A 14,772-nucleotide genomic window follows, 5' to 3' on the forward strand; every position below is an offset into this window, starting at 1 on the left:
GGGTGACAGAGTGAGACTCCGTCTAAAAAAAAAAAAAAAAAAAAAAAAAAATTAAATCAATAAGCCTCTAGTCAGGCTAACGAAACAAGAGAGAGAGAAGATACAAATTACTAATATTAGAAATAAAAGAGGGGACACTACTACAAATTCCATGAATACTAAAGGGATAATTAAGAAATGCTATGAACAACTCTGCCCACAGATTTGATAAATCTGATAATGAAATAAATCAAATCCTTGAAAGACACATCTGCTAAGACCCACACAAGAAAAAAAATAATCTGAATAGAACTACATCTATTAAAGAAATTGCATCAATAATTAATAACCTTCTAAAACACAAAGCATTAGGCCCAGATAGGTTCACAAGTGAAATTTATCAAACATTTAAGGAATAAATTATACCAATTTCCTCCAATGTTTTCCAGAAGGTAGAGGCAGAAAGAATACTTTCTTGTGCATTTTATGAGACCAGCATTACCCCAATACCAAAACCAGACAAAGACATTACAAGAAAAGTACAAACTAATATCTCTCATGAACATAGATGTAAAAATTCTCAACAAAATGTTTTGTTAATATTTGATTTAAAAAAATTTAATCTAACAATGTATTTTAAAAAGTATACACTGTGACCAACTGGATTTGGTTCTAGGTATGCAAAGCTGGTGCAACATTTGAGAGTCAGTTAATGTAATCCATAACATCAACAAGCTAAAGGAAAATGGCATGATCATATCAATGGATGTAGATAAATCATTTAACAACTCCAACATCGATTCATGATAAAATACTCTCAACAAACTACAAGTAGAGAGGAAATTCTTCAACATGATAAAGAACATCTACCAAAAAAAAGAAAAAAAAAACCCTACAACTAACATCATACTCAAGAATGAAAAACTAGAAGCTTTCCTATTAAGATCAGGAACGAGGCAAAGATGTTCCCTCTCATCACTTCTTTTCAAACTCATCATGGAAATTCTAGCTAATGCAATAAAACAAGAAAAGGTATACTTACTGGGAAGGAAGAAATAAAAATGTCATTGTTCACAGATGATTATCCATGAGATGAGATGATTATCTATGTAGAAAATATGAATAAATTGACCAAAAACCATGAAACTCATAAGTAATTATAGCAAGGTTCCAGGTTACAAGGTTAATACACAAAAGGCAATTGCTTTTCTGTATACCAGCAAGGCACAAGTGGAATTTGAAATAAAAAACCATAATGCCATTTACTTTAGCCCTCCCCAAAATACTTAAATATAAATCTAATAAAATGTGCACATGATCTATGAGGAAAACTACAAAACTGATGAAATATATCAAAGAAGAACTAAATAAATGAAGAGATATTTCATGTTCATGGATAGTAAGACTCAATATTGTCAAGATGTCAGTTCTTCTCAAAATGAACTAGAGACAACAAAAATCCAATTAAGAACCTAGCAGGTTATTTTGTTGATACAAGTAGACTGATTCTAAAGCTTATATAGACAGGCAAAAAATTCAAAATAGCCACTACAATATGGAAGTTGAAGAACCAAGTCAGAAGACTGATGCTATATGACTTTAAGACTAACTATAAAAGTATAGCAATAAAGAGAGTATGGTATTGGAGAAAAAATAGACAATAGATTAACTGATCAGAATAGTGAATCCAGGAATAGACCCACATAAATATAGGCATAAATCTTAGACAAAGGCAAAAAGGCAATGCAATGGAACAAACATAGTCTTTTCAAAAAATAGTGATGAAACAACTGGATAGCCAAATTAAAAAAAAAAGTGAATCTAGTCACAGACCCTACACCCTTCACAAAATTTAACTCAGAATGAATCATATAAAATAAAAAATGCAAAACTATAAAACTTATGGAAGACAACACAGGAGAAAATCTAGATGACCTTGAGTATGACAATGACTTTATAGATACAACACCAAAGGCACAATCCATGAAAGTAATAATTGATAAGCTGGACTTCATTAAAATGTAAAATTCTGCTCTGCAAAAGTCACAGTCAAAAGAATGAGAAGACAAGCCACAAACTGAGAGAAAATATTTGCAAAAGACATCTAATAAAGTACTATCATCTAAAAACTAAAAAGAACTCTTAAAACAACAATTAAAAAAATGCACAAAAGATCTGAACACACATCTTACCAAAGAAGATATTCCTATGAGAATTAAGCATATGAAAAGGTGTTCAGCAATATATGCCATTTGTCAATTGAAAATTTTAAAACATCAAAAGAGATACATTTAAACAGATACCACTACACACCTGTTAGAATAGTCAAACTCCAAAATACTAACACCGCCAAGTGTTGGCAAGGATGTGGAACAACAGAAATTCTCATTCATCGCTGATGGGAATACATAATGGTGCTGCCACTTTGGAAAACAGACAGTTTGAAAGTTTCTTACAAAAGTAAACATAGTCTTACCATATGATTCAGCAATCATGTTTCTTGGTATTTACCCAAATATGTTTAAAACTTATGTCCACATATAAACCTGCACATGAATGTTTATAGCAGCTTTATTCATAATTTTGCAAAACTTGGAAGCATCCAAGATGTTCTTCAGTAGGTGAATGAATAAATAAACTGTGATACATCCAGACAATGATATGTTATTCAGCACAGAAAAAAAAAATGAGCTATCAAGCCTTGAAAAAACACAGAGGAACCTTAAATGCCTATTACTAAGAGAAAGAAGCCAATATGAAAAAGCTACAAACTATCTGATTCTAACTATATGACACTTAGAGAAGGCAAAACTATGGAGACACAAAGGATCAGTGGTTGCCACGGATAAGCAGAGAAGGAGAAAAGAATAAGCAGAGCATGAAAAAAATTTTAAGACAGTAAAACTAATCTGTGTGATGCTGTAATGGAGGATACTTGTCATCATACTTCTGTCCAAACCCATTAAATGTACAAAATCAAGAGTGAAAGCCACTAGAAACGATCAACTTTGGGTGATAATGATGTATTCAAGTAGGTTCATCAATTGTAACAGATGTACCACTCTGGTGTGGGATTTCCATAGTGGGAGAATCTATGCATGTTTGGGAGCAAAGGGTACAGTACATGGGAAATCTCTGCACCTCCTCAATTTTGCTACAAACCTAAAAGCGGTCTTAAAAATTAAAGTCTATTTTTAAAAAGGCTCACACTCTTTACAAAGTTAGATTTAAAAGCAGATTGCTTAGGACTTAATGTTGGCATGCTATCATCAGCTGTGAATCACAGTGAAAAGAAAAATCAACTAATTCCAAGAAGGATTGGGTAGCGCTATGGTTTGATTGGTTTGTCCCCTCAAATATATATGTTAAAACTTAATCCTCAATGCAATAATGTTGGGAGATGAAGACAAATAGAATGTATTTAGGTCATGAGGGATCTGCCCTCATGCATGGATTAATGCTGCTATAAAAAGGGCTTGCAGAAGCGGTGTGCTGTCTTCTGCTACATGAAGACACATTTGTCTTGTTTGCTCTTCTGCCTTCCACCATGTGAGGACAGCCCCCACAGGACACCACATGCCAGTGCCTTGGACTTCCTAGTCTCCAGAGCTGTGAGAAATAAGTTCCTGTTCTTCATAAATGACCCAACCTGTGGTATTTTGCTATGGCAGCACATAACAAACTTAGACAGGCAGTATTTATATGGATTTAATAAGATTAAAACTAGGAAAACAAACAGAAAAATTAGGTATATCCTAGTTATACCACTGAAGTATTATTTTAAATTATCTATACACTTTAATGAAAAGGTAATGGCAAGCCAACTATATTAAATAACAATTTCTAACATGTTATTCTTTGTAGAAGGTCTGAGATGGCAAGCAAAAGGGAAAAAGAGGATTCTAAGCTGACAGAAGTTACTGAAGTCTAGAAGCATAATTAGCCTTCCTGATTTCCTGTTCTTGTTTTAATGACTAGATCAGAAATAAAAATTATTAACGTAATTATACAGGATAAAGTGAAATGATGCATGTGGCAGCTTGACAAGCATAATTCATGACAAAACAATAATTTAGAAAATTATCTTCCATAAACTTTTCTGAAAATTAAAAGTATTTATATACTTCCACTTAGCAGTCATTGTTCTATTCATTCTTTCTCCTAAAGCAATGCATGAGTTATCTTTTCCCAATTTCATTTTTGACCTAGTTTTTATGTTTATCACTTATTAAGACTACTCATTATCATCAAAATTCCCCATGTTTCATATTTCCTGAATCCTCCTATGCTACCAAACAGCGTGTTATCTGCAGCTGCTCCATCTTTGATGATGTTCTATGGCTCAACTCCCTCTAATCTCCCCAAAATCAAGCTCCCTGAACCTCCCAAAGCTGTATTCAAATGCATACTACAAAGAAGCTCAATCCTATTCTTTGGATTCTTAGTGACAACATTCTTTTACCCTCTGTTTACAGCTTTTAGAAAATTTATGTTCCTTCTTTTCAAACAGAATGCCTTCTTTAATGGAATCTGTCTTTTCTGCCTCACAATTTTCTTAAAGAATCACATATTCAGTTCATGAATTCCTAGTAAACCAAACTACCTTCAGAGAGCGTGTCGACAATCTTGAAAATAAAGAACGTTATTAAGTCTTCTAAGTCATTCTGCACTTACATCATGTAAAAGGATTATATCGTAATTTTCAGACTCATATTCTTTCTTATTCCCAAGTCACCATTAATGTACTTCCTCTTCAGGTCTAAGTTCTATTTTATTTTTATGTCATTGTGCAATTTACTAAAACCTTGCTAACATTTTACTGCTTCAGGTCAATAAGTCACCAGTATGCCTTAAGAGCAATGAAGAAATACCAAGGAGATGGAAGACACATTCTTCACCATCACAGGATTTATAATCCAGCTGAGGAAACAAACACATACAAATGAAATAATAATACCCCACCAGATTTGCAGAATTCTACAAGCAAAATATATTAGTATCCCTTTTCCCATTTATTCCTTATAATCACCTTGTGATATAAGTAATTTAGCTATACACTCCTTTCCTTGTTTTACATCATGGAAACTGAGAACCAGAGTAACCCTCTCAAAGTCTCAAAACAAACATGTCCTAGACAAGGCACAAGACTCCAGAACATCCAACAGCTGATATAGTGCTTATGAACACACACAAATCAACAAAAGAAAAAAATATTTTTAACTATATTAAGGCGCATACATATACATAAGTGAACATGAAATATGGTGAAGATATTAATTAAAGCTGCTTGGGAATGATGCAGGCAGGCTTCCTGAAAGAAATATGTTCCAGAAAGGTGAATGTTATAATAAGGGGTAATAAAGAGCCAATCTATAGGAACTGACCCAGAAAAAAGGCAAAGAATGCATAAAATAGTATGAATGAAGAAGCCGATAAACGTGTGGATAAATCTAAATAAGAATTGACAATTAAATATTAATAAAACAATCACATATTAAAAGGAAAAAATTAAAAATAATGTAGATCCAAAATAAAAGACAATAATAATTTGAAAGATGAAGGGGAACAGAAGTCCTTGAATCAAATGAAGAAAGGTAAAGATACTTAGAAGCTTCTGGAATCTGTTAAGTCAAACACTGATGTTAAAAATGTAAGAGTAATCGATTAACAGAAAAAATTCCAAACCAGTAGGAGGAATCCAAGAGATTAAAGGAAAGTTCAATCAATCCAAAACCTGGAAAAACAAAAGGAAAAAGAAAACACCAAAACACAAAGGTAAGAAAAGGCATTTAAAAATAGAAAATAAGATGTACTAAGTAAATCAAAACGTAATTAATCACAATCAATGTAAACAGATTAAACTTGCCTGTTAAAGAGACTTTCAGAATCTATACACTACTCATAAAATATATATCCAGAAATATACGGATCAAATACACACCAACCATACAAAAGCAAATTTAGCTATAATAGTATTAAGCAAACTAGACCTTAAGCAAGAAAAGCATTATTAGGGACAAAGAGAGTTAGAAAATAACGTGGAAGAAATCTCCCAGAAAGTGTAGCAAAAAGATAAAGGATTAGAAAATAGGAGATTTAAAAAAAAAAAAAAGGAAATTGGCCAGGTGCAGTGGCTCACGCCTGTAATCCCAGCACTTTGGGAGGCCAAGACGGGTGGATCATGAGGTCAAGAGATCGAGACCATCCTGGCTAACATGGTGAAACCCTGTCTCTACTAAAAATACAAAAATAAAATTAGCCAGGCATGGTGGCAGCGCCTGTAGTCCCAGCTACTCAGGAGGCTGTGGCAGGAGAATGGCGTGAACCCAGGAAGCAGAGCTTGCAGTGAGCCGAGATCACGCCACTGCACTCCAGCCTGGGTGACAGAGCGAGACTCCATGTCAAAAAAAAAAAAAAAAAAAATTACAGGACTGGTCTCATAGGTACAGTATCTGAATAAAAGGAGTTCCAGAAAGAAAGAAAATTTAGAAAAGGTCAGAGGGCTGGAGAAAATCATAATAGGAAAAAATATCAAGACAGTAGTCATGCTTTTCCAGGCTGAAAAGGACCACCTAGTTAACACCCATCAAAACTGATGAAAATAGATCTGCACAAAAGCATATCTTCAGAAAGTTACAGAACCTTAGGACAGAGAAGGTGTATGAAACTTCCAGAAAGAGAAAATAGGTCACATGTAAAGGAACAGAAATCGTAATGACTTCAAGTTTCTTATCAGAATTACTGGAGGAGTACAATGGCATTGTATCTTTCAAAATTCTGAAGGAAAATTATCTCTAGCCAAGAATATTATAGCTAGCTTAACTATCAATCAGGTGAAAGAGTAAAGAGAGGTTTGTTTAAGAAAATGATATCGATAGAATACTTCTTGCATCAATGTAATGAAGGGAGATTTAGATAATTGTCAGAGAACTTTGTGGTTGAATTAGTGATAAGAACATAGAAAACATAAAATCAGACAGTTATCAGCTCCCAGAAAAATGGAAAGTGCAGAAAAAGAAAAGTAATTACAGCATGCTGCAAGGATCAGCTATAAAATGCATATTTGCAGTCATAACAATATCAACACTTGGCCAGGCCCAGTTGCTCACGCCTGTAATCCCAACACTTTGGGAGGCTGAGATGGGCGGATCACTTGAGGTCAGGAGTTCAAGACCAGACTGGCCATCATGGTGAAATACTAAAAAAATTTAAAAAAAATTAGCCGAGTGTGGTGGTGCGCGCCTCTAGTCCCAGCTGCTGGGGAAGTTGAGGCAGGAGAATCGCTTGAACCTGGGAGGCAGAGGTTGCAGTGATCACACCACTGCACTCTCGCCTGGGTGACAGAGCAAGACTCTGTCACCAAAAATAATAATAATAACAATAATAATAATATCAACACTTAATATTTATTGAATCAAAAGGATGATATATTGTGAGAATGAGGTGATGAAAATGGTGCATTTAAATAGTGAGCGAAAGTAGAAAGGGGAGCTAAAATCTCACCTTTCATGTTGAGAAGTCAAAGACAAAACCTAAAATTGACAAACCAAGAGGTAGATATGTAATCGTGTTGTTTGGTGACATGGAAGCAAATAATAAAAGAATCCCCTGAAAAAATTTGAAAATGGTTGCCTCTAGGGTCTTCTCTTTTTTAAAATGAAACATTGCCAACTGTTCTTTATAGAGATTTTACCAATTCATTCTCCCCTGAGCAGTGTATGAGAGTGATATGCCACATCCCACTTGATCAATTGAGGTCCTGTAAGGAGTAGATGCCAAGCCAGGGTTATTTACGCAAGAATTTTACTGAGGTAAATGCCTGGGAAGGACAAAATGGGGAGGAGGGGAACACGAAGAGCCTTTGGACTACAATGCAGTTCTAACACCTGTGAAAGAGGGAAGGAAGACTCAGGTAGGAAGAAAAAGCTTACACTTTTACACAGTAAATGGATAGTCCCAGAGCAAAAGTTGCAGTTATGGACAAGTTATAGTATTCCCACCATACTCAGACACTGACGGGGAAGAGCCCTGGGGAAATGTGTGAGCCCAGCTTCAACATGTGAGCTGCAGGAGATCAGAAAAGGCAGCAGCCTTCAGTTAACTGTGTTCAGTGATGTGTTGGAAAATGATTAACAACTAGCTCTACAGAAAGTTTTTTAAAAAGGCCTTGATTTGTAGCTTTTGCTACTTTCTGTAGTGTAAATACGCCCACTGTGGCTAATTTCAAGCTACCACTGTGAGATCACCAAATGCTGAGTCGAGAAGAGATGGTAACAATAGGCTTTCTAAAGCCAGGAGCTGGACCCAGGGTGCCGCTGACCGTACTCCACACAGCACGTGTTGATGAAAGGAGATTTGAGCGGTGTGCCTACTTAGCTACTACACTCAACAGCCTAGTGTTCTAACGTAGTTTCGGTCTTTGCAGCGTGATAAATGAAAATTGTATTTAGTGTGGCGGGCACCAGTAGTCCCAGCTACTTGGGAAGCTGAGGCCGGAGAATGGCGTGAACCCGGGAGGCGGAGCTTGCAGTGAGCCGAGACAGAGCCCCTGCACTCCTGCTTGAGCGACAGAGTGAGACTCCGTCTCAAAAAAAAAAAAAAAAGAAAGAAAATTGTATTTAGTGTGGATTTACTTTGCATTTCTTGAATATGAGCTAAGTTGAGAGAATCTTTTAATATATATTACATAATTATAAATGTATAAATAAAAGTATTACATAGTTATAAATGTATTATTAAACAATATATTTACTGTAATACTAATCAAGCCAATCTTTTGATTATTTTTAATTGACAGAAATAATTGCATGTATTTACTATGTACAACATGACGTTTTAAAGTATGTATGCATTGTGGAATGACTAAATCTAGCTAGTTAACGTATGTGTTTCTTCACAGTTATCATTTTTGTGGTGAGAACACTTTACACCCACTTTCTCAGCATTTTTCCAGAATGTAGTACATTGTTAACTATAGTCACCATATTGTATAATAGATTTCTTGAATTTAGTTCCATCTAACTGAAGTTTTGTATTCTTCCACCATCTCTCCATTCACCCCACCCCTTGGTAACCATTATTCTACTCTATATGAGATGAACTTTTCTAGATTCCACATGAGTGATTGCCTTTATTAAAATCTTTAGGCCTATACTCTAAATAACTAAAATCTCAATGTATTAATGTAATAATCTGTGTAGTGTGCAAAACATAAATACTGCTTATTGTCCCCTATCATGTGATTTGTATTTTCAAAATTAACTCCTTTAACTCACTTCAGAAGATAAATTTGAAAAAAAAAATCTTTAAAAGCTTGATGTAGGTGGACTCAAAACTTGGAAAATGAATTATTATGATTTTTTTCTCATAATTTATAAAGTAATAATTACATACACAATATCAAAATACAATGTCTACACTTAAATTTGGGGGAAATAATATTTATATTATTATAGTTGGTTGAACGTAAATATTTTATAGAAAAAGTCACTGAAGAAAAGTTTCAATCTATCTCCCAACACACATAGAGAAATAATATATTACAATGTATTATAATAATAATAACAACAGAGTAAAGAATTTTCCATCTGAGCAGTCTACAGACTAGAATCTATAGGAACATCTTAGGATAATTAAGTTAGTAATATTATCATAATGAACATATTTTAATAATAGACATATTCTATATTGACTCTTCTATATATTATGAATTGAAATTACTGGTTGTATCCTATTAGCTTGGTGTAACAACTTAAATATCATCCACTATTAAGTTAGAGCCTGAGAAGCTGTGGATGAAGTGGTCTTTTAAGCTTCTACATATTTTAAGTACTTCTAGGTGCACTGATAACACTGAAGAAGCAGAGCCTTACATGAGACAAGACATCAGAAGTCATCTGATATGGTTTGGCTCTGTGTCCCCACCCAAATCTCATCTCAAATGGTAATCCCCACATGTCAAGAGAGGGACCTGGTGAGAGGTGATTAGATTATGGGGGCAGTTTTCCCCATGCTGTTCCCGTGACAGTGAGGGAGATCTCATGCGATCTGGGGGTTTTAAAAGTGGCAGTTTCCCCTGTGCTCCTTTTTCTCTCCTGCCGCCATGTGAAGAAGGTCCTTGCTTGTTTCCACCAGGATTGTAAGTTTCCTGAGGCCTCTCCAGCCATGTGGAACTGTGAGTCAATTAAATCTCTTCTGTTTATAAATTACCCAGTCTCAGGTTGTATCTTTATAGCAGTGTGAAAATGGACTAATACGTCATCCAATATCCACAAATATATTCAGACAAAATGTAAAGCAAAAGCTATGAGGAAGAAACCAAAGTGGCAAAAATTCAAGAATTGCTGTTTCATAAAAGTTTCTTTATCTTTATGTTAACTCTACCATTGTTATCATATGTGTCTTGAGAGGAGGAGTCAAAAGATCTGTGAATGAGTAGTTTTCAAATGCTGCAGCTTTTCAAAGAAAATACATCTATTTATTAGGTTGTTATAAAAGTAAATGTGGTTTTTGCCATTAAAAGTAATTGTGAAAACCACAATTACTTTTGCACCAATCTAATATCTTCTTTCAATCAATTATGTAGTTTGTGAACTGTAGTTGACTTCAAATGCCGCCGCTTTTCTTCTCCTCCACTTCTTCCATCCACAAACTCCAATTCCCAGTAATTAGTACTTTCAACCAGATATCAAGGAGAAGAAACAGATGAAAACTAATTTAAGGTAATCAAATATAATAACTTTTGGCAAGGGTTTCAAGAAAGTTGAAAGTGGTGGCTAAAAAGAGGTTTGGATTATCTGTGGAATCCATTTATCCTGATGTTTTCAAAATATATGACCCACAGTACTCAGAAAACCAAAACGAAAAACTTACCTCATCCACATTTTCAAAGGCATTGATGATGTCATAAGGTAAACAAGACAGCAGATCGATCACAAACCAAGTTTTCAGATAGTTCATCCTTATGAGCTTAGGGTCAGAAATGACCTCTCCACCGGGCCCCACGAAAGTCGTGTGAAAATTTAAAACGATGTCAACCAGAAAAATAACGTCCACCACACTATCCAGTACCAGCCAGGCTATGTTGTTCTGCTTTGTTTTGAAGGAAACATTATAAGGAACCATAATGGCGGTGTAGAAGGTAAGAATTAAAATCACCCAATCCCAAGTAGTTTTAAAAGCACAATAATGTAAAATAATGTGTGGTGGCGTCTTTGGCGCTTCTTGTTTATACTGAGGAAGGATATCTGATCCCAGCTGAAGAACCTAAAAGAGAGAAAATGTATTTATACATGACTAGGTTATCTCTGCACAGTCAGTGATGAATTCAAATCTACTGGCAGTCAAACCACAGCCAGTCATGCTCCACAGTCTTGCCTCCCTCTTCTCCTGAGTTGTCCTAAAATTTGTTCAGAGGAAGTCACTCCAAGTCCAATCACTCTACCAAAGCTGATCTTTCTGCTGTTCTATCTGGCATGCTCTGATGCAGTAGCCAACACTGATCCACAACACTGCTGGATGTCCACTTCTGCAAGTGCCTCCTGCACACTCACTCTGCAAGCCTGCCTAGAATCACATGGCTCTCATGGACTGTCCAGCAGTTATTTGGGTGAGACACCATTATCTATTCTTCATACACATTTAGCACCTCAGGAAGCATAACTTTGATTCTGATGGCCTCGCTGGACCCCGGCATCCCACTGTTGGTGATGCTGTTGTTGAGTGATACTCAGCAAGGGCCCTGATGGGTGGCACAGCAGTGTAAAGGGTTGTAAAGGGTATCGCCTGCTTTTTCCCTTCCTCCCTTAGATCTGGACTTAAAGAATATTGTGTTTCTTGCCCAACTGCAAATTTCCTTTAGGGAAAAAAATATTAAATACTCAAGTTTGTTTCTGTATACCAATTCAAATGGAAAAATTTTAGTGTAAGTTTATATGAACCTTGAGTTACACTAATTAAGTCTAATTACAGCAGAAAACAAAGATAGAAAGCAGATGACAGAGCAAGAGTAGAGGTTTGTGTATCCCTGGGCAAAGGTAACCAACACAGGACATAGCATTGCCTTCTGGAACCTGGAACCTGGGAATTATAAAAAACAGTTGAGGCGAGATCACGAGGTCAGGAGATCGAGACCATCCTGGCCAACATGGTGAAACGCTGTCTCTACTAAAAATACAAATATTAGATGGGCGTGGTGGTGCGTGCCTATAATCCCAACTACTCAGGAAGCAGAGGCAGGAGAACCACTTGAATGCAGGAGGCAGAGGTTGCAGTAAACTGAGATTGTGCCACTGCACTCCAGCCTGGCGACAGAGCGAGACTCCGTCTCAAAAAAAAAAAGACAGTTGAAGGGATAAATCAAAAACTTCTGCCCTGTGCCATCAATGAAGCCAAAGACAATGTATGTGTTAAAGAGTTTGGTAAATGGAAATTTTTAAATATTTTCAACAGATTTGCCCATTGTATGTATTCAGTTATTCAGTGTCTCTAGGACTAATGGGACCCAGAAGGTAGGAGTCAAAAAGGCCAAATCATAAAATCATAAATGCATTAAATATTTAGATGTAAGAATGGATAAAAATAAAAATACTTGTTAGCATGTAACTCTGAGTTATAATATATGCCACAAAACAAAACAAATATACTAGCATCTTTGGCAGCTTGGGAGAGTATCCTAAAGTTCCTCTCATATACAGAACTTACATATCTGAAAACTAAGAATATAATATCCATTTTTACTATTTTTGATATGGAAAACATCACTGGTGGTCCCTTTAATTGTATGTTAGAATTGTTATTTTTATTTTGGTGTTTGTAAGAATACTTATAAAGATATTTTATGTATTTGCCATTATCAGTACCTCAGTTATGTTTTTCCCATGATGTCTTAAATTACTTAACAGCAAATCATCCTACCAGGAGGTAAGATTCATGTTGGGGTGAAGTATTATACAATTGTACATAATCATGTCTTTTCTTTTGCTTTTCAACTACTGGCCTGTCAATTCCAATTTCATTGTGTTAAACATGAAAATTGCCTTCATATTCAATGTTAGTAGTTTACCATCTATATATACACAGTCTATGTTTAACCACAAATAAATCAAACTTGGGAAATAAGAACAAACTCAGTACCAGGGTGCATTACCACCTTCGTGGACCCTAAGCCTTTGTGCCTTCCTAGACTCCTTCATGGTGAAACCCCGTCCTACTAAAAATACAAAAATTAGCCGGGCTTGTTGGCACGTGCCTGCAGTCCCAGCTTCTCTGGAGGCTGAGGCAGGAGAATCACTTGAACCTGGGAGGCAGAGGTTCCAGTGAGCTGAGATCACACCACTCACTGCACTCCAGCCTGGGTGACAGAGCGAGACTCAGTCTCAAAAAAAAAAAAAAGTGTGTATGTATATATACATATATATACATATGTGTGTGTGTGTGTATATTATAACAGATAAATATATTAATATCACACATTCAGTTTTTGTTTTTACCTAAAATTACCCTGTTTTCTTCTGCTGTTAATAGAAATTGAAACATCCTATAGACCCGTAAAAGTGTTGTGGGGCCCTGGACACTGTGCCTACTGTGCTGACAGATGTAAGCCCTGCTCAGTAGCCTGGATTAATGCAGGTCTCCTCTAAAGATGGAATGGCATCACCCTGAGTTCAGAAAGTCTTAAACCTGGCTATATATTAGAATCATCTGGGGAAGTTTTAAAAGAATACAGTATACTTATACCTAGACTCCACCCTGGAGAATGATTAAATTGGTCTTGTTTGGGTTCTCAGAGAATCTATATTTTCAAAACCTTCCCAGGTGATTACAATGTACAGCCCAAGGTAAGATATCTGTCTTACATTTCTTTAGACATTCAGGACCCAATTCTCTAGACAGTGATTTGCATATGTAAAGCCCTCCAAAAAAATGCAAGATGGGGACAAAAAGGAGGAGGAAAGGGTAGAGGAGGACAAGGAGGAGGAAGAAGAGGAAAATGGCAACAACAAAAAACAGTGCACAAAAAATAAGCTTCATCTTTTTCATATGCAAAGCACTACTAATCTTCACTCTGTTCCTGGGCTCTTTCATAAAACAGTAACAGACTCTTCATTTTCATTGTTATGTCATTTGTGCTTCTATAAGCAATAAGCCTTTGGTGGAAGGAGGATGAAATCACATTTTTTGATGTATTTTTGTACCAATACAGACACATTCTTCCTCTCTGAAGATCTGAGAGCATTGACTCTAACAAAGTCAGGCCCACTGACTGATGTGGCAGGGCGTATATATTTATCTCTACCCAACATAAAAGTGAACAAGCTAAAGGCAATCAGCAGGGTGTCAATGCACGCAGAAAATTAATTAACTACCTTTATGGAGACTGGAATCTTTGAAACTGGGGATCAGCTCCAAATTTGGGGGATCAGGTAGAATTGAGATCAAATTTATCTGTCTTTGAAAAAGTAAAAGCACCTCAAATTCCATAGCTAAACCAAATACTTGCATTGAGCAAATTACAAGAGTTTTGAGTACCACTGGAAAAACAACATTGTTATACTTATTTGGTATTTCTTTTATGTCTATCTTTGGAGATCTAAGAGCATGCGCTGCAGGTATTCAGACTAAATGTCTATCGACAATCTTGTTATTTCTGTATGCTCTCTGAAATCGACCCTAAGATCTGACAGAAAGCAGTTTTATATCAGAACCAGGTTTATGAATAAGGGATGACTGGTAAAGAAACTAACACTAATCACAGAGCAAAGAAAAAAAAAACAGATGGGATGAAATAGGAAT

The 14,772-nt window shown here is 35.8% G+C and overlaps 1 protein-coding gene across 3 annotated transcripts in view; it reads right to left on the reverse strand.

Annotated features, from left to right (window-relative positions):
- The window catches only part of KCNH5 (potassium voltage-gated channel subfamily H member 5), a 345,995-nt gene that overhangs the window by 270,557 nt on the left and 60,666 nt on the right, over window positions 1-14,772 (reverse strand). For all 3 annotated transcript variants that reach the window (NM_172375.3, NM_139318.5, XM_047431275.1), the window contains exon 6: window positions 10,852-11,244. In NM_172375.3, the coding sequence (NP_758963.1) occupies window positions 10,852-11,244 (393 nt within the window). The remainder of the gene's footprint in view (window positions 1-10,851; window positions 11,245-14,772) is intronic.

Source organism: Homo sapiens, chromosome 14 (genome assembly GCF_000001405.40).
Source record: "Homo sapiens chromosome 14, GRCh38.p14 Primary Assembly".
In the NCBI taxonomy this organism is placed as follows: Eukaryota; Metazoa; Chordata; class Mammalia; order Primates; family Hominidae; genus Homo; species Homo sapiens.